Source organism: Homo sapiens, chromosome 14 (genome assembly GCF_000001405.40).
Source record: "Homo sapiens chromosome 14, GRCh38.p14 Primary Assembly".
In the NCBI taxonomy this organism is placed as follows: Eukaryota; Metazoa; Chordata; class Mammalia; order Primates; family Hominidae; genus Homo; species Homo sapiens.
The window spans coordinates 92,256,722-92,279,017 of NC_000014.9; the positions used below are offsets into that span (position 1 = coordinate 92,256,722).

Here is a 22,296-nt window from a genome sequence, read left to right on the forward strand (position 1 = left end):
ATTCACAGAAAAAGATGGATGCTTAAAATTCCCAAGCCATCACAAGAAAAACTTTTATAAGAAGTGATCCAGCCTGGAGACCCAGGACTCGTGTTTGAATCACCTAACATTTTTTTTAAATTTAGATTTAGGGGGTACATGTAAAGGTTTGTTACATGGGTATATCATGTGATGATGAGGTTTGGGCTGCTGATGATCTCATTGCCCGGGTAGTGAACATCGTACTCCATAGGTAGTTTTTCAGCTCTTGGTCCCCCCACTGCCGCCCTTCCTCCCCCTTTTTGGAGCCCCCAGTGTTTATTGTTTCCATCTTTGTGTCCGTTTATACCCAATGTTTAGCTTCTGCTTATAAGTGAGAACATGTGGCATTTGGTTTTCTGTTTCTGTGTTAATTTGCTTAGGATAATGGCCTCCAGCTGTATCCACATGGCTTCAGAGGACGTGATTTCATTTTTTTTAATGGGTGCATAGTATTCCATGGTGTATATGTACCATATTTTAAAAAATCCAATCCACTGTTGATCGGCACCTGGGTTATGAATCACCTTACGTTTTGTATTCAGGCCCCATGCCCTAGTCAAGAATAAATTGGCCAATAACCCAATTCTAGGTCCTCAGCTTGTCTGAGAAAGTGTCCTCTGTCTTTGGGTCTGGTAAGACTAACGACCCTCTCCAGTCCCCTTGCACCCTGGAAGGACTAAAAGTGTTACTGAAACCCTAGGATGATATAAAAATAATGTAGTAAATAATAATGTAATAAACAATGTATATTATTTATTACATTGTCTCAGTATCTGCCTCTGGGGGAGCCCAGCAGTCCTCCTCCAAGCTGTCAAGGTCATGCAAAGCAAGGAAAGACTGAGAATGTAATAAATAATTATAATAAATAATAAGTGTAGCAAGAATCCTGGGAAGGCAATATATCAAGTGCAGAATAATGCACTTGATATTATGGCTATGGTGTGGATGCTTTAGAGTGAGCATAAGCATGAGTTTATGTGTAGCTATGATGTTTCTGAGTGTTTTGTCTGCTGTTTGAGGCATGGAAGTATTCAAAAAAATCAAATGCACTGTCTGTAATTGCATTTTAACTTGTTTAGAATATTTAGGCCAGGCATTGTGGCTCATGCCTGTAATCCCAGCACTTTAGGAGGCCGAAGGGGGCAGATCCTTTGAGCCCAGAAGTTTGAGACCAGCCTGGACAACTAGGGAGACCCTGTCTCTACTAAAAATACAAAAAATTAGCCAGGCGTGGTGGCACATGCCTGCAGTCCCACACTCAGGAGGCAAAGGTGGGAGAATCACCTGAGCCTGGGAAGTTGAGGCTGCAGTGAGCTGTGATCATGCCACTGCACTCCAGGCTGGGTGACAGGAGTGAGACTGTGTCTCACACACACACACAAAAGAACATTTAATTCATCAAATTTATAATTGACAAAAATTGGTTTTCTGAGTTGTTAGATACAAGTATAACAAATTAAGCAACAAGGAAAGTTCAGGCCAGGTGCAGTGGCTCACGCCTGTAATCCAGCACTTTGGGAGGCTGAGGAGGGTGGATCACCTGAGATCAGGAGTTTGAGACTAGCATGGCTAACATGGTGAAACCCTGTCGTCTCTACTAAAAATACAAAAAAAATTAGCCAGGTGTGGTGGCACATGCTTGTAATCCCAGCTACTTGGGAGGTTGAGGCATGAGAATCGCTTGAACCCAGAAGGCAGAGGTTGCAGTGAGCCAAGATCGCCCCACTGCACTCCAGCCTGGGTGACAGAGTGAGACTCTGTCTCAAAACAAAAACAAAAAAAAAAAGAAAAGAAAAAAAAAAAAGGAAAGTTCACACAATTGTGGGAGCTTCTTTCCCCAGTAAGAAAGCCCCTTGAGTGTTGAGTTGAGTCATCATCTATCAGCGGGTTACAATGGGACTGATGGCCTCCCCACAACACTTCCTCATCCTTAAAGCTGTCAGTTTTCAGGCTGCTGCAGTAATAAGGCACTGTCATGGATGCTTTAGCATCTGCAAGTCTTTCATCCCATTTTATCCACACAAGATCCTGGTGGTATTATTCTCACTGAACAAATGAGAAAGCTAAATATAATTTAGAATGCATTTGGCTGCAAGAAAGAGAATAATGAACCCAGAGTGACTTAAACAGCAAGGAATTGATCTCCTTGAAAAGTAGTCCGGCTAGCTGCAGGGCTGGTTAACTCAGGAGCTCCACCACACCCAGCCCCAGCTCCTCATAGTCATAAGGTGGCTGCAGCAGTTCTGGGCATCCAAGTGTCTTCCTGGAAGGCAGGTTCTCCTGTGGGGCTGTGGTATCAAGGGAAGAAAGCCTTTCTCAGCATCCCAGTGGTGTCTTCCCTTCATTGGCCAGGCTTGAGTCCTGTACTCAGGTCTCAGCCAATCGCTGACAGAGGGGCGGAGTTACCATGGCTGACTTGGACTAGTCCTTCTCCAACCCCGGGGGCTGGGAAGGTGAACCTCCAGCCACATCAGCAAGGAGGACAGGCACAGCAGCACTGACTATGAGGAGGTGGCCCAAGTGTCTGCATAGGGAGGCCCAGAGAGGGACAGGGTTTGCCTAAGCTCACCCTGCCAAGCCTGGACTGGAATATTAGGTTCTGCCTCCCTCTTGATGTTTTCCAAAGACCCCCACTGAGTCCTTAGAATGGGGTCATGCCTTTATATGGCCGTCAACTTGGAAGGAGCCTCCAGGGACTTCTGAGCCAGCCTCCCTCTGACTGGGAGGTGAAGTGGGTTGAAATTGCTCCCTACAAAGGATTGCCTCGCTTCTTCCCGAAGACTATCACAGCTCCCAATGCCCTGAGGTCCAACTAGTCCATTCCTTTTATTGCACAGATGGGAATACTGGGGTGGGGCAGGAGCAAGGGCTCAAGGTCACAAAGTGAGGTGACAATAAATTGCCCTCTCTACTATTCCTGGTTGTTTTGTGGGTGGACACAAACAAAAGTTAGCAGGAATGGGAGGCACTTCAGCATTTGAAAGCATCAAGTATAGAGCTGGACTCAGGGCTCAGCCACCCACCAGGTAGGTGACCTTGAGCAAGTTACATAACTTTTCTGTTCCTCAGTTTTGTCATCTGAAAAATGGGCATAACAGTAGGACTGCTTCCTTGGCATGTTGTAAAGAATAAGTGAGTCCATGTAAAGGGCTTGGCACACTTAGTGAGCTCTGTAATTACTGCTCTCCTACTGGGCACCCAGCATCACGTTATATGCGCTGCAATCCATCTAATCTCTATGCCTCCTCTGTTATTAGCAGACTTGTTTTACAGACGAGAAAATGAAACCACAGAAATGTCAAGTGACTTACATGAGTCCCTTGGCTGAGGCCACACTGAGTTTCAAACCCACATCTGGCTGCCTCCAGAAGCCCAAGCCCTTAGCTGCCTTGCCATTCTGTCCCCACCACATGGCGTTCTGCTTCTTGGTTCCTCTATGGCAAACAAAGAAACCTAGGCCCAGGGAGGTCAACCCATTGTTCACAGTCACCCAGCTAGTAAATGAAACAGGAATTAGGATGCACGAGTCCGTCCATGACCCCACACTTCCTCTACAGGGACAGAAGCTCTGTAGCATCCTGCAGCAAGATTGTTCTCAGCCACCCTATCAGGCAGTTCCTCCTTGTGTCAAACCAAGATCTGTCCTGCTTTAGTTTATGCTTATTTTCTTTTGCTGCATTCTTGAAAGAGGCCTTTCTCTGGTCTATTTGAATCTTTAGCTTGTGACCTACCTGCCTACTGCCCAGCTCTGACCTGTCTGTCCCCACATGTCCACTTCAGCACCTCTCCTTGAGATGAGGCTAAGGCTTCATGAGCCACCTTCAGGGACAAGTGGACCAAGGGTCTCTAGGGAGTGTCACTCCTCCCGCAGTCTCTGCTGAGCCTCAGTGGGATCTGGTTTTTTTCTCAGGCCTGGCAGTGAAGTGCCTCCTTCCTGATGTCTTTTGTCCATACTTCTCCGGACCGCCACCTTCCCACCTTGCTGGAGATTCGTGTGCTCTTTCTGATATGTGATCTGGGGGTGGGCGAGAGTGTCCTCTAGACCTGCTCTGTCCAATGAGGTAGCCACTAGTCATGTGTGGCTATTTAAATTTAAATTAATCAAAAGTAAATAAAATTTGAAATTCAGTTCTGTAGCCATACTAGCCACACTCAAGTGCTTGGCAGGCCTCTGAGACTAGGGGGCTATGGTATTGGACCCGGCAGATACACAACATTTCCATTGTCGCAGAAAGCTCTAGAGGACAGCCCTACCAGTGCTTCTCAAACTCAAAATCATTGAGTTTGCCCAAGGTCACCTACCGGTGGGTGGCTGAGCCCTGATTCTAGCTCTATAGTTAGTGCTTTCAAACTCTAAATTGCCTCCCATACATACTAACTTTCGTTTGTATCCACATACAAAACCTCCAGGAATGGCAGAGAAGACTTGTTAAAACACCACATGCTGTGGGCCTCACCTTAGAGTTTGTGCCTCAGTAGGTCTTGGCAGAGTTGGAGGATTATTTCTAACAATTTCCTAGGTGAGGCTGCAGCGGCCGGGCTGGGGACCCTGCTTTGAGAACAGCTGCTATTCACCCAGCACTGGGAGAGTCTGCTGAAAAGACTCCGTGTGGTGATCTAGATCTGAGGGTGGTGAAGAGTCACTGGGGACACAACTTTTTCAGCTGAGGTTAGAAAAGGAGACTGAGACCAGCTTTCCAAAAAGCGAGCATTGGCTGGACAGTGGGGTACTTGGACGTGCCGGAAAAACCTCAAAACCCAAACAAACCCAAAAGAATAATCCTGGACCCCCAGGGATTGTCTGGTCTTCATTTCCACTCGTCTGTAATTTCTGAGAGAAAACGACTTCAGTGTCAACCCTGATCACTGTCCTTCTCCAGTGACAAATACCAAGCAAGGACCACACCCCAGTGTCATCTCAGACATTAGTTCTTGGTTCCAGTTTTCCTTCCACCTTGAACTTTCTCAGACCTGCTGATACTCAGCACCTTCTTTCTTGGAGAGACTGTGTTGGGGACAGGAGGCAGAGCACTGGATTTGGAGTTATAAGATTTGAATTAAAGTCGCTGTGTGAGCTTGGGCAATGCCCCTCTGAATTTCATTTCTATAGAGGCAATAATCTTATTTACTTTATAAAACCACATTATGTTATGCTCACATGGTATCATATGTGAATTCTTGTTTGTAAATCACAGAGTACTTTCTAAACCTCAGGTCCCATAGGTTGGAATGTAACTTTTATAGCACAGGCTAAACACACACACACACACACACACACACACACACACACACAGACATATATTTTTGAGACAAAGTCTTGCTCCTTTGCCCAAGCTGGAATGCAGTGATTCAATCATAGCTCACAGCAGCCTCAACCTCCCAAGCTCAAGTGATCCTCCTACCTTACCCCTTACCCTCCTGACTAGCTGGGACTACAGGCACATGCCACCATACCCAGCTAATTGTTTTTGATGTTTTTATTTTTGTAGAGATGGGGTCTCACTATGTTGCCCAGGCTGGTCTTGAACTCCTGGGCTCAAGCAATCCTTCCACCTTGACCTCCCAAAGTGAACACAGGTTATATTTGATCAGAATTATTTGTTTCTATGCACATCTCTTGACAGCCTGGGAGCTCCTTGAGGCAGGGCTCTATTAACCTTTTTTTTTTCTTTTTTTTTTTGAGACAGAGTCTCACTCTGTCGCCCAGGCTGGAGTGCAGTGGCATGATCTCGGCTCACTACAAGCTCCACCTCCCGGGTTCACACCATTCTCCTGCCTCAGCCTCCCGAGTAGCTGGGACTACAGGTGCCCGCCACCACGCCCGGCTAATTTTTTTGTGTTTTTAGTAGAGACGGGGTTTCACCATGTTAGCCAGGATGGTTTTGATCTCCTGACCACGTGATCCACCAGCCTTGGCCTCCCAAAGTGCTGGGATTACAGGCGTGAGCCATGGCGCCCAGCTGGCTCTATTTATCTTTGAGCCCCCTAGTGCTTGATTTCAGGCCCAAGCAAATATTTATAAAAATAATGATTATCATACTAAAACATCCTGCACTTACTGTATGTCCAGCACTGTTCTAATGTATTGATTCATTTAATTCTTACACCACCCCCAAAAGATAGTACTATTATGAAATTACATATAATAGGTGCCCAGTAGACATCTATTAAATAGTGGAGGGCAGCACTTCTCCAAATTTAACATGCATAGGAACTATCTGGGAATCTTGATCTTGTTAAAATACATATCCTGGCTGGGAGCCTATATCCCAGCACTTTGGGAGGCTGAGGCAGGAGGATTGCCTGAGCCCAGGAGACGGAAACCAGCCTGGGTAACATAGACCCTGTCTGTACAGAAAGGATGGCTAATTTTAAATTTTTTGTGAAGACAGGATCTCACTATGTTACCCAGGCTGATCTATTAGCTAGATGTGGTGGCATGCACCTGTAGTCCCAGCTACTCTGGAGGCTTAGGTGGGAGGATTGCCTGAGCCTAGGAGGTAGAGGCTGCAGTGAGCTGTGATTGCACCACTGCACTCCAGCCTGGGTGACAGAGCAAGACCCTGTTTCCAAAAAAACCCCAGGCCCCCCAAAACAACACGCCATGACACTGCAGGCCCCGAGTGGAGTCCTGTATTTTCAACAAGCTCTCAGGTGATGCTGTGGTCAGAAGACACTATCAAAGATGTAGATCATTTAACATTTTCTCAAATAGAAAAACCTCCAGTCCCCTGTGGGACAGAGGCAGGGGTGGGAAGCACACTGGGAAAAATAACTCACCTCTTACTTTGGGAGTGAGAGGATTACAGACCCTCAGGACTGACATTCTTTGAGGGGACCGGGAAGTCAGTCCACCAAAGGCAGCTTTTCAAGTCTCGTTGGAACAGCCTGTTCTCACGGTCTGCAGGAAAGAAACAGGGCAAACATTTTCCAACATTAGGAACAGAGCTTCGGACTGGGGCCACGTGTCTGGGCTTAACACGGTGCCTGGAAACAGCTGCTAAATTGCCTGGCGTCTCCCATCCAGAGGGGGCTAGGAGCCCTTCCTAAGGCAGCACCAGTACAGGTGGAACTGAGGCCAGCTCCCCTAGAGGGTGGATGGCTGCCCAAGGGCAGTGGAAGGGGGTGTGCAGATGAAACGTGGCCTTTGAGTCAGACAGAGCTGGCTTCAAATGCAGCTTTGCCACTTACTAGCGGTATAACCAGAGGCAAGTTACTTCTCCTTGCAGTTTTGTTTTCTCATTGCAGCCCGGAAATAATACCAACCACACGGGTTTGGCTAGGGAATGGAAACCCCTGGAGAACTTCAAACAGAGCTACTTTAATACAGGGAATTGGTTACACAAGTGAGGGCAGAGCTTGGAGGCCAAGTGGGGGAGGGCGAGGCAATCCAGAGACCAGCAGGAACACAACTGTGAGCTGGGGGGCTGCAGGGAGGAGGTGGTGTTACTGAAGCCCAGGGGTCAGGTCATCAGGTGGGGGCTCGACCCACAGGGGGCTGGTCCAGTGGCCACACACAGCTCTTGCCGGGGTGCTATCTGAGGCAGAGAGGGAGGAGGAGAAATAGCTCAGCTTCTCCCTGTCTCTCACCCTCCAATCTCCCACCACTGCCTCCATTGGCTGGACCCACCCAGCAGGAGGCTGGGAAATGCGGCTGGCAGGGGAAGTGGCTGAGGGCCAGTAGGCTCAGGACCTGCACAGGATGCCTTGTGTAAGGCATCGGCAGCACGTTGTTTGGCTCATCGACAAAGCAGGTGCCCTTTCCTGTGCCCTGGAAACAGCCAGCCTCCCTGGGTTAACCGTGTCTTCTGTGATGATGCTTTGGCCATCTGCAGTTTCTTTCTCAACATCCCTGTGTGTTGGGAACTCCAGGCTCTGTAACTCAACTGACTTCTTTTCCTCTGGCCTTTTGGGATCCTGGGATGTGTAGGGGAGGATTCTTCCAACCAAAAGACCACCAGGGGCCAGGGGAAGTGACTGAGGCTGAATGCAGGGACGCTGGCAAAGGGTGAGGGCCTGGACAGGCCTGACTGTGTTGTTTGTCCCTTCATTGGTTCATTCATTCATTCATTCATTCAACTCTTAACAATCAGCTATTGATCTAGAACCACACTAGATGCTAGGACTGCAGATGGTGTCCCAGTCTGGTGGGTAAGACATGCTTGTAAATTTCAGTCAGGGCTATTTTGGTTGTAATAAATAGAAGCCCATTCAAAAAATGCAAGTGAGAAGGAGTTTTCTTGAAAGGGATTAGGGAATCTGATGGAGTTAATTGAGGAAGTGCAGGTGGGCCTCCCGTGAACTGTCCTCATCTTCTCTGCCTCTCTGAGCTCCACCCGCCTCTGCAAACCAAATCACATGTTGTTTCTGCTCCCCTAATTCTGGGTGACTTTTGACTCCAAAGGGTGTCAACTGGGTCAGACCACGACTCCTTGAGACCATGTAAGTCCAGTGCATTCTTACCAATTCACTAAAATTGGTGGCCCCTTAGGTTAAATTATTGAGAGAACTTAACCCGATCAGCTCACTTGAGTCAGACTTCCTGTCCCATCAGGGTGGCCGGGACAGGCCAGGTAGTGGGGACAGGGGAAGGGTCTTACAGCTTGCCCTTTGGAGAAGTAGGATCTGAGAAGAGAGTTATGGGCAGGGCAGGCAATGAAACACGTTTCCTGCTGGAAATAATTGTAAATCTGGCCTAAGGGGAAAATGGATTCAAAAAAGCATTTAAAATAATAATAGTGACCGTTTATCAAGACTTTATGTGTCAGACACTGGAAAGTGCTTTTTATACATTTACCTCTTTTAACCCTCAGAAGTCATTATTATTATTATTATTATTATTATTATTATTATCATCATCATCCCCATTTGCCGATTTTACAGATGAGGAAGCTGAGATGTAGGAGGTTAGATAAGGTTGCCTGGAGTCAGATGGTGGAGGTAGCAGCAGCAGGCACAAAACTGTCACTTTGGCAATTTTGTTCCAAACTTGGAACAATACAGAGAAGCTTAGCATGGCCCTGCGCAAAGATGACACACAAATTTGTGAAGCATTCCATATATTTTAAAAATTTTCTTCAAAAAATTTCTTGGCTGGGCATGGTGGTTTATGCCTGTAAGCCCAGCACTTTGGGAGGCCGAGGCAGGTGGATCACGAGGTCAGGAGTTCAAGACCAGCCTGGCCAACACGATGAAACCCCATCTCTACAAAGAATACAAAATTTAGCCGGGCATGGGTGCGCCTGTAATCCCAGCTACTCCGGAAGGCTGAGGCAGGAGAATTGCTTAAATCTGGGAGGCCGAGGTTGCAGTGAGCCAAAATCACACCACTGCCCTCCAGCTTGGGTGACAGAGCAAGACTTCCATCTCGAAAAAAAAAACAAAATTCTTGTCTCTGAGCCATGTGCCCTAGACCTGTGCTTGGCAGCTTCCGCGGAGAGCAGAAGCCGGCGATCAGGCCGTTTTCTCCCCTGCGACCTCCAGAAACGCTCTCCAGACAGACATTTTCCTTTCCTGTGGCTGCAGAGATCACTAGCCACCTTTGGCAGGACCTCTCTCTCCCTTTCCCTCCTTTTGTTAAAGGATTTCAGGCGCACGGACTTGGGGGGCTGATGTCCTCCATTTGATGGCTCGCTGTCACCACCCATCTGGACTCGAATCCTCTTTTGAGATTATCGTGGTTGTGTCTTTCTCCTTTCTCCAGGTCTAATCCTAGTCCCTTCCCCCATAGGCATCCGCTCCGGGGTAAACAACACAGGTTTCTTCCAATTTCCTTTGTGTGTTGTTCATTCGTATATGTCATGTTTGGAAAGTGTATGTGTTAGGGGTTTATTTTTCAGGGGGGATGTTATTTTTAATTTTTTAAGGTCATAAATAACACTTTCTTTTCTTTTAACTTTTAAATAAACTTTATATTTTAGCATAGAATTGGAATTACAGAGATGTTGTAAAGATACTGCAGGGAGTTCCTAGATGCCTTGTTCTCACTTCTGCCTACTAACATAGGGTACATTTGTCAAAATTGATGAACCAATATTGATATATTATTAGTAACTCATCTATACTTTTTCAGATTTCCTTAGTTTTTTGTTGTTGTTGTCGTTGTTTTCTGAGACAGGGTCTCACTCTGTCACCCAGGCTGGAGTGCAGTGGCACAGTCATGGCTCACTACAGCCTCCACCTCCCCGGACTCAGGCGATCCCCACCACCTCAGCCTCCCGAGTAGATGGGACTGCAGGTTTGAGCCACCACGAATGGCTTTTTTTTTTTTTTTTTTTTTTTTTTTTGGTAGAGATGGGGTTTTGCCATGTTGGCCAGGCTAGCCTGGAACTCCTGGGCTCAGGAGATCCCCCGCCTGCCTCGACCTCCCACAGTGCTGGGATTACAGGTGTTGAGCCAGCACACCTGGCCTTATTTCCTTCGTTTTTACCTGGCGTCCTTGTTCTGTTCTAGGATCTCATCTAGGAGACATTACATTTACTCCTGAGGCTCCTCTGCTGGGACAGTTCCTCAGGCTTTCCTTGTTTTTTGATGATCTTGACAGTTTTGAGGAGTACTGGTCAGGTGTTTTGTAGAATGTTTCTCAGCTGGGATTGGTCTGGTGATTCTCTCATGGTTAGACTGGGATTATGGGTTTGTGAAAGGGACACCACAGAGGTGCAGCACTATTTTCATTACATCATATTGAGGTCCCCCTTGGCTGGCAGTTACATCACTCCTGTCTCTGCCTCTGTGGTCACACCCCTCCTCCTCTTCTCTCTGTCAAATCACCCTATATCTCTCTTCTGAGGATACTTGCATTGGATTTAGGGCCTACCCACGTAATTCAGGATGATCTCATCTCAAGGTCTTTAACTCAACCTTCTACAAAGACCCTTTTTTCCAAATAAGATCACATTGACAGATTCCAGGAATTTGGATGTGGACTTCCTTCTTTTTTGAGATAATGTCTCACTCTGTTGCCCATGCTGGAGTGAAGTGGTGCCATCTCGGCTTACTGTAGCCTCTGCCTCTGGGTTCAAATGATTCTCATGCCTCAGCCTCCGGAATAGCTGGGATTACAGGTGTGTGCCACTACGCCTGGCTAATTTTTGTATTTTTAGTAGAGACGGGGTTTTGCCATGTTGGCCTGGATGGTCCCAAACCCTTGGCCTCCAGCGATCTGCCCACCTTGGCCTCCCAAAGTGCTGAGATTACAGGCATGAGCCACCGTGCCTGGCCTGGACTTACCTTTTTGAGGGCTACCATTCAACCCACTATTCCCACATGTCAATTTTATCTTTCATGAATTGTGCTTTTGGTGTATCTTAAAACTCATTGCTAAACCTAAGGTCATGCATATTTTCTCCTAAAAGTTTCATAGTTTTGCATTTTACATTTAGATTTGTGATTCATTTTGAGTATATTTTGTGTAAGGTGTAAGGTCTGTGGCTAGGTTCATTTTTTTTTCATATGAATATCTCTTTGATCCAGCCCTTTTTGTTGGAAAGACAATTCTCTCTTCATTGAATTGCCTTTGTGCCTTTGTAAAAAATCAGTTGAATACAGTTGTCTATTATTTGTGTTCTCTTCTGTTCCATGGATCTATGTTTCTATTCTTTCACCAATTTCAGCAATCTCGATTGTTGTAGTCTTATAGTAAGTCTTAAATTGGGTAATGTGAGTCCTTTGTTGTTCTTCAGTATTGTGTTGGCTATTCTAGGTTCTTTGCCTTTCTATATAGATTTGAGTCAGTTTGTTGATACCTACAAAATAGCTTGCTGAGCTTTTGACTGGGAATCTGTATCAAGTTGGGAAGAATTGACATTTTACCAATATTGAGTCACCAAATCTATGAACATTCCAATCCAATCTTCATTTATTTTTTATTTCTATTTTTTGAGACAGAGTCCCACTCTGTCGCCCAGGCTGGAATGCAGTGGCGTTATCTCACTGCAACCTCTGCCTCCCGGGTTCAAACGATTCTCCTGCCTCAGCCACCGCGCCCGGCCGCTTTTACTTTCTTTACATAAATCTAAGTTTCTGATTGATATCATCTTCCTTCTGCCTGAATAATTTCTTCTTCCTTTTTTTTTTTTTTTTGAGATGAAGTCTCACTCTATCACCCAGGCTGGAGTACAGTGGCACAATCTTGACTCACTGCAACCTTCACTTCCCAGGTTCAAGTGATTTTCCTGCCTCAGCCTCCCGAGTAGCTGGGACTACAGGTGCATGCCACCATGCCTGGCTAATTTTTGTATTTTTAGTAGAGACGGGGTTTCCCCATGTTGGCCAGGCTGGTCTGGAACTCCTGGCCTCAAGTGATCTGCCTGCCTCAGCCTCCCAAAGTGCTGGGATTACAGGTGTGAGCCACCATGGCTGGCTAATAACGTCTTTTAACATTTCTTGCAGGACAGATTGTGGGCAACAGAGTCTGTCAATTTTTGTTTGAGAAAAATCTTTATTTCTCCTTAATTTTTAAGGATAAATCTGCTGGATATATATAGAATTCTAGGTGGGTGGGTTTTGTTTTCAATCTCGCACTTTTAACTTCTGTGACACTGCTGGCATTCATTCACTTTAAGTGTTTCTCCTCCTCTTTGCATAGTTTTATATCAAAAAGTCAGCTGTAACTCTTAACTTTGTTCTTCTGTGAGTTTCGTATTTCCTACATCCATCCTTCTCCAGCTTCTTTTAAGATTTTTTCTTTGTCTTTGGTTTTCTGTAGTTTATTTATTTTTTGAGGGGCATGGCTTGGAGAGAGACAGATAGCAGTTCTTTTTTACAGATTTTTATTTTATTTCAGTAGTTTTTGGGGAACAGGTGGTTTTTGGTTACATGGACAAGTAACCAAAATCTCAATTCAAATCTCTACCCAGCGTATAGTCTTTTATTCCTTACCCCCTCCCAGCCTTCCCCCGAGTCCCCAAAGTTCATGATATCCTTCTTATGCCTTTGCATCTTCATAGCTTGGCTTAATTTATGAGCGAGAACATATGATGTTTGGTTTCCCATTCCTGAGTTACTTCACTTAGAATAATGGTCTCCAATTCCATCCAGGTTACTGTGAATGCCATTATTTTGTCCTTTTTTATGGCTGACTAGTATTCCATTACACACACACACACACACACACACACACACACACACACACACACACACACGTATCTCCCATGGAATATATGGAATGTATATCCTACCCAGTAATGGGATTTCTGAATCAAATAGTAGTTCTACTTTCAATTTTTTCTGTAGTTTAAATATGATGTACCTAGGTGTTTTTTGTTTTGTGTTTGTTTGTTTGTGTACTTATTCTGCTCGGTGTTTTCTAAGCTTCCTGGATCTGCAATTTGGAAAACAGTAGTAGCCATTATTAGCTCAAATACTTCTGCTCCATTTTCTCTTTCTTGTCCTTCTGCATTTCAGTTATGCATATACTACATTTTTTGATATTGTCTCACAATTCTCAGATTCTCTCTTCTGTTTTTGTCATTCTTTTTCTTTCTCTTTGCATTTCAGTTTAGGAAGCCTCTACTGACTGATGTTCAAGGTCCTTGTTTCTTTCTTTGACCATGTTTACTCTGTCGATGACCCCATCAGAGGCATTCTTCATTTCTGTTACAGTGTTCTTAACTTCTAGGATTTCTTTTTGATACTTAGAATTTCAACTCTGCTTACATTATCCATGTGTTCTTGTATATTGCCTACTTTATTCACTAGGGATATTGCATATTAATCACAATTATTTTAAATTATCTGTCTGATATCCAACACTTGTGTCATATCTGAGTCTGGTTCTGATGATTGATGTGCCTCTTCAGATTGTATTTTTTTTCTTACCTTTTGGTATGCCTTGTAATTTTCTGTTGAAAGCTGGATGTGTTGTATTGGGTAATAGGAACTGAGGTAAAGAGGTTTTTAGTGTGGAGATTTGTGTTAATTCGTCTAGGAGTTGTGTTGTGTTTAATCTTTAATCTTGATGTGTGATCCAGAGTCTTTAAATTCCTCTAGTGTCCTTGTTTTCATCTCCTCTTGACATTGGGTGTCCCTAAGTACTCCTCCTCAGAAAAAGTCTGTGCCTTGCAGCTCTTTCTGTTGTTATATTGGACTCTTCATGTGGTGGCTTTGCTATTCGTTAGCTTTGTGACTTTGAGCATATTTCTTCACTAAGTCTCTTTCCTCGCAGGTAAAATAAGAACAATATTCTCTTATAGAACTGTGCTGAGGATGAATTGGAATACTAAATTAAAACACTGAGCACTGTGCCTGATATAGACTAGATTCTTGATTGAATCAATGGGCCTGTTTGGCTCAAAGTCACTAATTGCTACTTGTTTCGTTGGCTAGTGACACAAGTATTGCTTATCCCCCCTCAACCACGTAGTTAGAATCAGAACTCATTTCTCGTCATCCCAGTGGCTCAGCAGTATGGATGTTGCAATAGGCAAGTTGTTAATAATAAATGAACGGTGCCTTCCAGGTACCCCAGATACTTTAAGCAGCACCTAATTACATATTTAAGTGTAGGACCTGCCGGAACCATCTCCCTCTCTTGAGAAAATAACGACCTCTCTAATTGCACACTGACCCAAGATACATTCTCCCAAGTAAATAATACACTGTTCAGAAGCATCCTAATTAGGTATTTACTTCAGAGATGGCAATGGCTTCATCTTGCTCCCCAGGGAAGTATTAAGCATCATATCAGGGCTGATAGAACTGAAAAACAAACTGGCCTCAAGAAAAACTGTGTCAATGATTTTCCATGAGAAGATAGAGAGCTGGGACTCCAGGAAGGAGAAACAATTGGCCAGTACTAGGGTTAGGCGGCCTCTCTACATGGATGGAGGCAGCTTCTCTCAAAGACAGCCAAGAGTCAGATGGACAGGCAGGCCCCCTTGCTCCACCCTCCTAAATTAGGAGTTGAGGCTGTGTAGCGGATGCCTATTGCCCAGGCTCAGATTGCTGAAACAACAGCTGGCCTAGGAGCTGGGGCTCTAACCATTAGGAATCGCTTGCTTGCTGGAGGTGGTGGTGGGGTGAAGCGTTCTCTGTATCCTTCTTCCAGTTCTCACTGTCCCTTGGTCACCAGCAACTCCTAGAGGGAAAGGGAGCTTCAGACAGCCTTGGCTGAAGAAGAGAAAGTGACCTGGTGGCCTCCTCCTCTTTCTTTCTTCTCTCTCCCTCCGTCTCTTCTCTTTTGCTTCTCGCCGTCCCATTTCCCATTCTTCCTTCCTCTCCCCTTCTTCTCTCACTTATCTCTTTCCTCTTCCACCTCAGTTCTCACCTCTCTTCTTCTGTCTTTCCCTGTGTCCTCCTTCTGCCTCCCTTCCTCCTCCAGAGGAAGAGGGAAAATCCACTCCATCTTCTCACTAGAAGCTTGCAGGAGAGCTCAGTCCTGGAGCTTTGCTCTTTCACGTTTGGGCATCATCCACTGAGCCTCAGGGTGGAAGTCATAGAGCCCTCCTGGACGAAGACCTCTGTGGATACACTGTGAAGTACATGGGCTGCCCTTGGGATCTTCTTGCAGATTACACACTCAGATGGGGAGGACTCTTCTCAGTACAGAGGGGCAGCAGCAGATACAGTCAATGAAGGGAGCCGAGGAGCACCTGGATCTCCTTCTCATCTTTGCTAGTTCTGCAATGGCCCAAAGAATATGCCCTTTTATCTTCATCCGCAAAGCCCTTCTCATCTAGCACAGAAAGGTGCTATCTGCATGGACAGAGTCAAAGGGACCTGAAAGGTTGCCTAGTCCTGGAATTTTTAACGTGGGTTCTATGGACTGGGGAGTTGTATTAGTCTATGGGGGCTGCCATCACAAAACCCCACAAGCTGGGGGGCTTAAACAACAGAAATGTATTTTCTCACGGTTTTGAAGACTGGAAGTCCAAGATCAAGGTGTCAGCAGGATTGGTTCCTTCTGAGGCCTCTCTCTTCGGCTTGCAGGTGGCTGCCTTTTCTCTGTGTCTTCACATGGTCTTCTCTCCGTGCCTGTGTCCTAATGTCCTTTTCTTATAAGGACACCAGTCATATTGGATTAGGGCCCACTATATGCCTCATTTTACCTGAGTCATCTCTTTGAAGGCCCTAACTCCAAATACAGTCACATTCAGAGGTACTGAGGGTTAGAGCTTCAAAACGTGAATTTTGGGGAGGACATAGTTCATGGATAAAATTGGGGGGTAATAGGCCAGGCACAGTGGCTCACACCTGTAATCCCAGTGCTTTGGGAGGCCAGGGAGGGCAGATCACCTGAAATCAGGAGTTCGAGACCAGCCTGACCAACGTGGTGAAACCCCGTCTGTACTAAAAATGCAAAATTAGCCGGGCATGGTGGTGCACACCTGTAATCCCAGCTACTTGGGAGGCTGAGGCAGGAGAATTGCTTGAGCCCAGGAGGAAGAGGTTGCAGTGAGCTGAGATTGTGCTATTGCATTCCAGCCTGGGTGACAAGAGGGAAACTCTGTCTCAAAAAAACAAACAAACAAACAAACAAAAAAAAAACAAAAGAAAAGAAATTGGGGGAAAATGGAAAGGGAACAATTATATTTTTATTTTCACTAACTTTCAGCTGAAGTGTAGCATTTCCTTCCTACATTACAAATGTAGCCAGCAAGCCACAGCAGCGTCAGGAGCTCCTGTGACATTACTGTTAAGAGAAACCACAAACATTACATATCAATTATGGTTGTCACAGACATCTTGAAATATTGTTTACTCTCACAACTACTTTAAAATTACAGTTATTACACCTATCGCTCAGGCTTGTTTTTAATTGCATTTATTAAAGAGTACATATATTGCCACATAACAAATTTGTTTTTACACTATGTTTATAATTGTATTATAATTGGTTTCCCTTGTAAATCCTATTTCATCTCATGCATTTCAAAACACTGTTCGGAGAAGAAATTCGTAAGCCTCATCAAACTGTCAAAGGGATCCAACAGCACACAAAAGAATGCTAGACCTAGTTTCAACTCTTTTTTTTTTTTAACAATGGAGGAGAATGGGGTCCAGAGAGGGCAACTTAATTGTCTGTGGTCACACAGCTAGTTATGAAAGGTTTGGGACTACAGTTTAGGTCTTAGGATTCCTTGTTCACAGCTTGGCCCACTGTATCACATTTGCTAGTTGTTCTTCTACAACGAAGACTGATATATAAAACTATTAGCCATGATATGAATTTTCTAAATACCTTCAGATTCCTAGATAGGCTTTATGTTCCCCAAAAGTCCACCCTTCTGGGTTAGCCTTCCATTTAACAGCCATCTAGCCCAGTCCTCCTGAGAGATGGAAGGAAGTCCAGCTTTTACCTCCACTCCTGACCTACTAGTGGATATCTCGGAGGAAGGCTTACAGGGCCCAAAAGTGGGTCCTGGTTTCCTTCATCAGCCCATCCAGTGCAGCAACCAACTCACCCTGGTTTGCCCGGGACTCTCCCCAGTGTTGGCCCTGAAAGTCCCATGTCCTGGGAAACCCCTCAGTTCTGGGCATATGGGTGGCTGGCCCCTCCCGCTTAGCCTCTTGCTGACAGCTGCTCTACTCAGGGGTACCTCTCACCATCTCATCCTGGCCTGTCCGGGCTGCTCCCTCCTGGCCCACACTGCAGGGGTTCTCACAGCCCGGCTGAAACCAGGCTGCCTCTTGCTTCGCAATCTCTCTGAAGACCGGAATTAGATTGTGAGAAAGAGAACAAGGTCATGTCTGAGAGTGGATGTCCAGGCTCCTGGCTGCCTGGGACCCTCATCCACAGGCTGGCTCTCTCTCCTCAGCTCCCACCTGCTACTTTTGGGTGTGGGTCAACCTCTGGGGTGGAGCTGGCAATCTGTGCACTAACAAGCCCCCCATAGGGGTTTCAGAGGGGCTGTCTGTGTCCCTCCCCAGTGCCCTTTACAGATCACTGCAAGCACCCCCAGCCGCTGCAAGTGCCAGCTGTTAATCCCTCACAGCTACCCGCTTCTCTGGAGAATCTCCCTGTCCCAGGAACCTGGCTCACCTGGGAGAGTACGTCCTACCAGCACCTCCACAGCTCTTGGCCAATGGCTGGCATTGATGCCAAGAGTCCCCCACTTTGCCCCTGGGCACGGGGCTGGCTCTGGGGCACAGTGCAGGAGCCCGAGCTCCTGGGGGCTTAGCCTGACACTCATCCCCAGCTGAGTCCATGCTCTCACTTAGGATGTCCCTCCCCTCTCCAGCCCGCCTCACCTTCCTTCTCCTGAGACCGCCCCCATAAATTGCTTGAACAAGAAACCCTGTTTCTGGCTCTGCTTCTAGTCACCAAAGTCAGAGGCTTCTCCAAGGAAGGAAAGCTTGAACGGGACTGCTGCGATTTCCTCCTAAATGGTCTCCCTGCCTCCTCTCTCTCCACTCCCCACTGTCCAGAGTAATTTGTCCAAAATGAAAATCAAATCATTCTCCATCCTACCTTCATCTCTACGAGGCAACCCACTCAACCCTGCCCATGGCATACAAGACCCCTTTTATGGCTTGTAAAGTTTTTGGGCTCTGACCCCACCAGATTTTCCAGTCCCAGCTCCCCACACTTTCCCCAGGAACCCCACATCCCAGATGTACAAGACCACCAGTGTCCAACCCGACCTTGCTGGCACACACCCCCATGCCTGTACACATTTGATTTCCTCTGCCTTTTCTGACTGTGGGCTTGTATTGATCCCCATACCCAACTGTAGCAGGTGGGGGCTGAGGAGAGAGAGCCAGCCTGTGGATGAGGGTCCTGGGCACCCAGCAGCCTGGATATCCACTCTCAGACATGACCTTGTTCTCTTTCCTACAATCTAACTCCCAAGTCTTCAGAGAGATTGTGAAGCAAGAGACAGCCTGGTTTCAGCTGGGCTGTGAGAACCCCACAGGGTGGGCCAGGAGGGAGCAGCCTGGACCGGCCAGGATGAGGAAAGGCAGAGGAAATCCCACTGGGTGTGTTATCAGTGACTGGAGTCACTTTTCAGTGGCATGGGGAGTGAAATATGGGGACACTAAACTGGCTGAGGAGTGAATGAAGGTGGTGGTGCTGTAGAAGGGAACATAGAAGCGATTCCATGAAGCTGGGCTATAGAAGACAGCCAGGCACTCCTCAGGTCCCCCACCCCACCGCTCAAGGTCTTCACTGGGACTAGGAACATGTTGTTGTCAGGCAGGACATCTGGCCACAGCTGGCTCCAGGCAGGTGCATCAACTGAAGCAGAACTACCTGGACCTAGGGAGACTCTAACAGTCACCTCCACCTCACATGCCCCCAGCTTTAACCGCCTGAGCTACCTGTCAGCACAGACGGTGACGACATAGAGAAATCTATACACAGACGCGTGGATACAACACATTCCTAACATTCTCAGCCTCACACCTCAGTGGAGTATCAGTAGATCATTTTTTATACATACCTGGACAGAGGGTGATCATTTAATATGGCTGGCATTATTTGAACATGCATTTTTCACTTGCGGAGAGGCAAGTATGCTCACCGCGGCAGTTTTTTGCAACACTCTAAAGAGATGGCCCAATCAATCACTTCTGATTCCTTGGCTGTTTATTGGAGCCATCAATCACGATGAACACTCTTGGCGTTAATGGGAATGTCATCAGCACTTCTGTAGGATTCTCCCTGCAACTCGGCTTTAAATAACAAGATTATTATTTTTGACATGTTATTCAAGCTGGGATTTTTTTCCCCTCTATTGCTTCATATCTGGGAGACCCTCGCCTTGAAAGCACTTGTCTTTCTGGTCCAAGACAGGAGGGGCAGTCGGCCTCAGATTTGGGAGGTGGAACTAGGCCAAGATGACTACCCAGACTAATTAGGGGTTGGGCTTAATTACAGGGGTTCTAAAATTTTTGCAGAGGCTGCAGAACACCTCTCCCGATGTGGAATAATGATCTTGTTCCCCAGGCCAGGGGTAGCTGTGGGCTTGGGCTTCCTTGGGGATCTGACAAGTTGCGGGGTCTTCCGAGGAACTATGTGGGTGTAGTACTGGTAATCTTTGCGATCTGTGAACTGGGCCTTTTTAAATAATAAAAAGGATGTAAAAATATCACCCAGCATTTAGGACGTTTACCTCCCAGGGGTTATTCTCTTTGATCAGGAAAATCTATGAATCAAAAGAGCAAGCGTATGTGTCCCAGCCCAATCCCTGAATGAGCGTTCCAACAGACAGGGCAGGAATGAATGAGTCGATGGCTGAGGGGTGGGCGGATTTAGGAGTGGGTTGGGGTGGGCAGCACGGAACAGGAGAGCACATGGAACCCTGGGCTGGGGTGTGGGACAGGGACCCTCAGTGTGGCAGAGTCTGGTTTCAGTCTCCAGCACCATAATTTTGTCAAGTCAGCCTTGACTTTGACCTTTGGTTCAAGAACTCTTCCAAGACAGCTGTCCCTGTCAGCCCTCCACCATTGCAGGCCTGTCTGGCCAGTTCCAGGATTCCTGCATCGCTGTTATGTTTCTCCTTTTGCTCATTCCCCTGGGAACCATTGGGTGAAGTGCATCTGTGCTGTGGGGAGGGCAGTTGGGCAAGGAGAATGACGACCAGGATTCCAGCTGACGTCTTGTGGTCTCAGCTACAAGATCCAGAGAGGATGGGAGCCATGGTGTTGACGGTGTGGTTGGGATGACAGCATCTTCTGGGTCTCCCTCATTTGCGCCATCTCCCATCCTCATTGCCACTTCCAGGGAAGCCTTCTGGAACCACCTTCTCTAGCCCCTTGGTTCCTGAAGCCCTTCGTTTATACCCGCAGCAGCACCGCCTCCATGAAGCCTTCCTGCTCCCCCGACTGTGTCCTCTGGCCTCCTCCCCCATTTTGTCTGGGCCTCTCTTTAGCCCAAATCACAGTGAGCAGAATTTCTCAAAACAAGGTCCATGGACAGCAACAGAACCACCTGAGTTGGTTGCTGGAAATGCAGATTCCCAGGACTCAGCTCATACCTATCTAAATCTCAGGGGTGGGGCTCAGGGATCACCCAAGACAGGCGATTCTTATCTTTCTTAGGCTTACTCAAGTGTGCGGATTGCAGCACCAGGCTTAAGGCTACAATCAATTGTTGGCATAACCATCTCTTGCCCCAATTTCCCCCACCTCTGGAACAAATCAATCTAACAACTGTCTCTCCAGTGCCCACTGTGTGCCAGGAGCTGTGATAGATTCTGGAAGACAGCCTGGGGGCAGGGAGACCAGGATGGACTCGGGAAACCAGAGGCAGATGAGAGGTGAGGAGGCTGGGGAGGGCGGGGTCGGATCTGAAAGTGCTTGGATTTGAGGTCAAAGCCAAGCACCGCCCCCAAAGTGTCTGGGGAAGGGCTCCACAGAGCCTGGGGGTGGGGAGGGGCAGGGCCAGGGGCTATTTCTTGGCTGGCAGCCCCAGTGTGCAACAGCACTTCCCTCTCCCAAGCGTCTGGGCTCCTCCACTCCAGGGCCAGAGAACATTAGTGCCTGGCTAGAAAAGGGTGGTGGCCTGACCAGAGGAGGTGGTCAGGGACCCCCCACCCCAAGCCCAGTCAGGTCAAGAAGGCTGGTCTCCAGTCTGGGAAAGGGAGGGGACAGGACAGGAGAGTTCAGATTCCTGAGAGCTGTCACAGGAGAGAACTTCCACCTTTCATCCACAAAGCAGCACATTCTAGATTGTTATTCCAGGTTACAAGGGAGATAGCCTTCCATTCTGTCTAAGAATTAATTTTAAAAATTATTTTATTTTATTTTTTAGATGGAGTCTTGCTCTGTTGCCCAGGCTGGAGTGCAGTGGCACGATCTCGGCTCACTGCAACCTCCGCCTCCTGGGTTCAAGTGATTCTCTTGCCTTAGCCTCCGGAGTAGATGGGATTACAGGCACCCACCACCATGCCTGGCTAATTTTTATATTTTTAGTAGAGATGGGGTTGCACCATGTTGGCCAGGCTGGTCTCAAACTTCTGGCCTCAGGTGATCCACCTGCCTCAGCTTCCCAAAGTGTTGGGATTACAGGTGTGAGCCACTGCATTCAGCCAAGAAATAATTTTTAAATAAGAGTTACGTAAAGATGGGACCAGAAATGTGGAACAGTTGTATGTTTTTGCATTTTATCCAACAAACATATAACACTTACTCTGTGGTTGGCACTATTCCAAGCACTTTACAAATATTTATTCATTTAACCCTCATAAAAACCCTGTGATGTAGGAACTCTTGTTATCCCCACAGCATGGAGGAAACGCATGTATCCTGAAGGCCTTTGATGAACATATTCATTCGTCCCCTCACTTGTTCCCTCACGTGTGGTTTATTCATTCATTCACATAAATTCCACGC

The 22,296-nt window shown here is 46.8% G+C and overlaps 1 pseudogene, besides 2 other annotated features; it reads left to right on the forward strand.

Annotated features, from left to right (window-relative positions):
• Positions 1,764–1,813: an enhancer, noted in NCBI's record as "active region_8928". NCBI's record gives its function as "activates an Ori minimal core promoter by ATAC-STARR-seq in GM12878 lymphoblastoid cells {active_cell/tissue: GM12878}" and the evidence as "EXISTENCE:reporter gene assay evidence [ECO:0000049][PMID:35858748]".
• On the forward strand, positions 8,981–9,086 carry RNU6-366P (RNA, U6 small nuclear 366, pseudogene; annotated as a pseudogene).
• Positions 17,351–17,400: an enhancer, noted in NCBI's record as "active region_8929". NCBI's record gives its function as "activates an Ori minimal core promoter by ATAC-STARR-seq in GM12878 lymphoblastoid cells {active_cell/tissue: GM12878}" and the evidence as "EXISTENCE:reporter gene assay evidence [ECO:0000049][PMID:35858748]".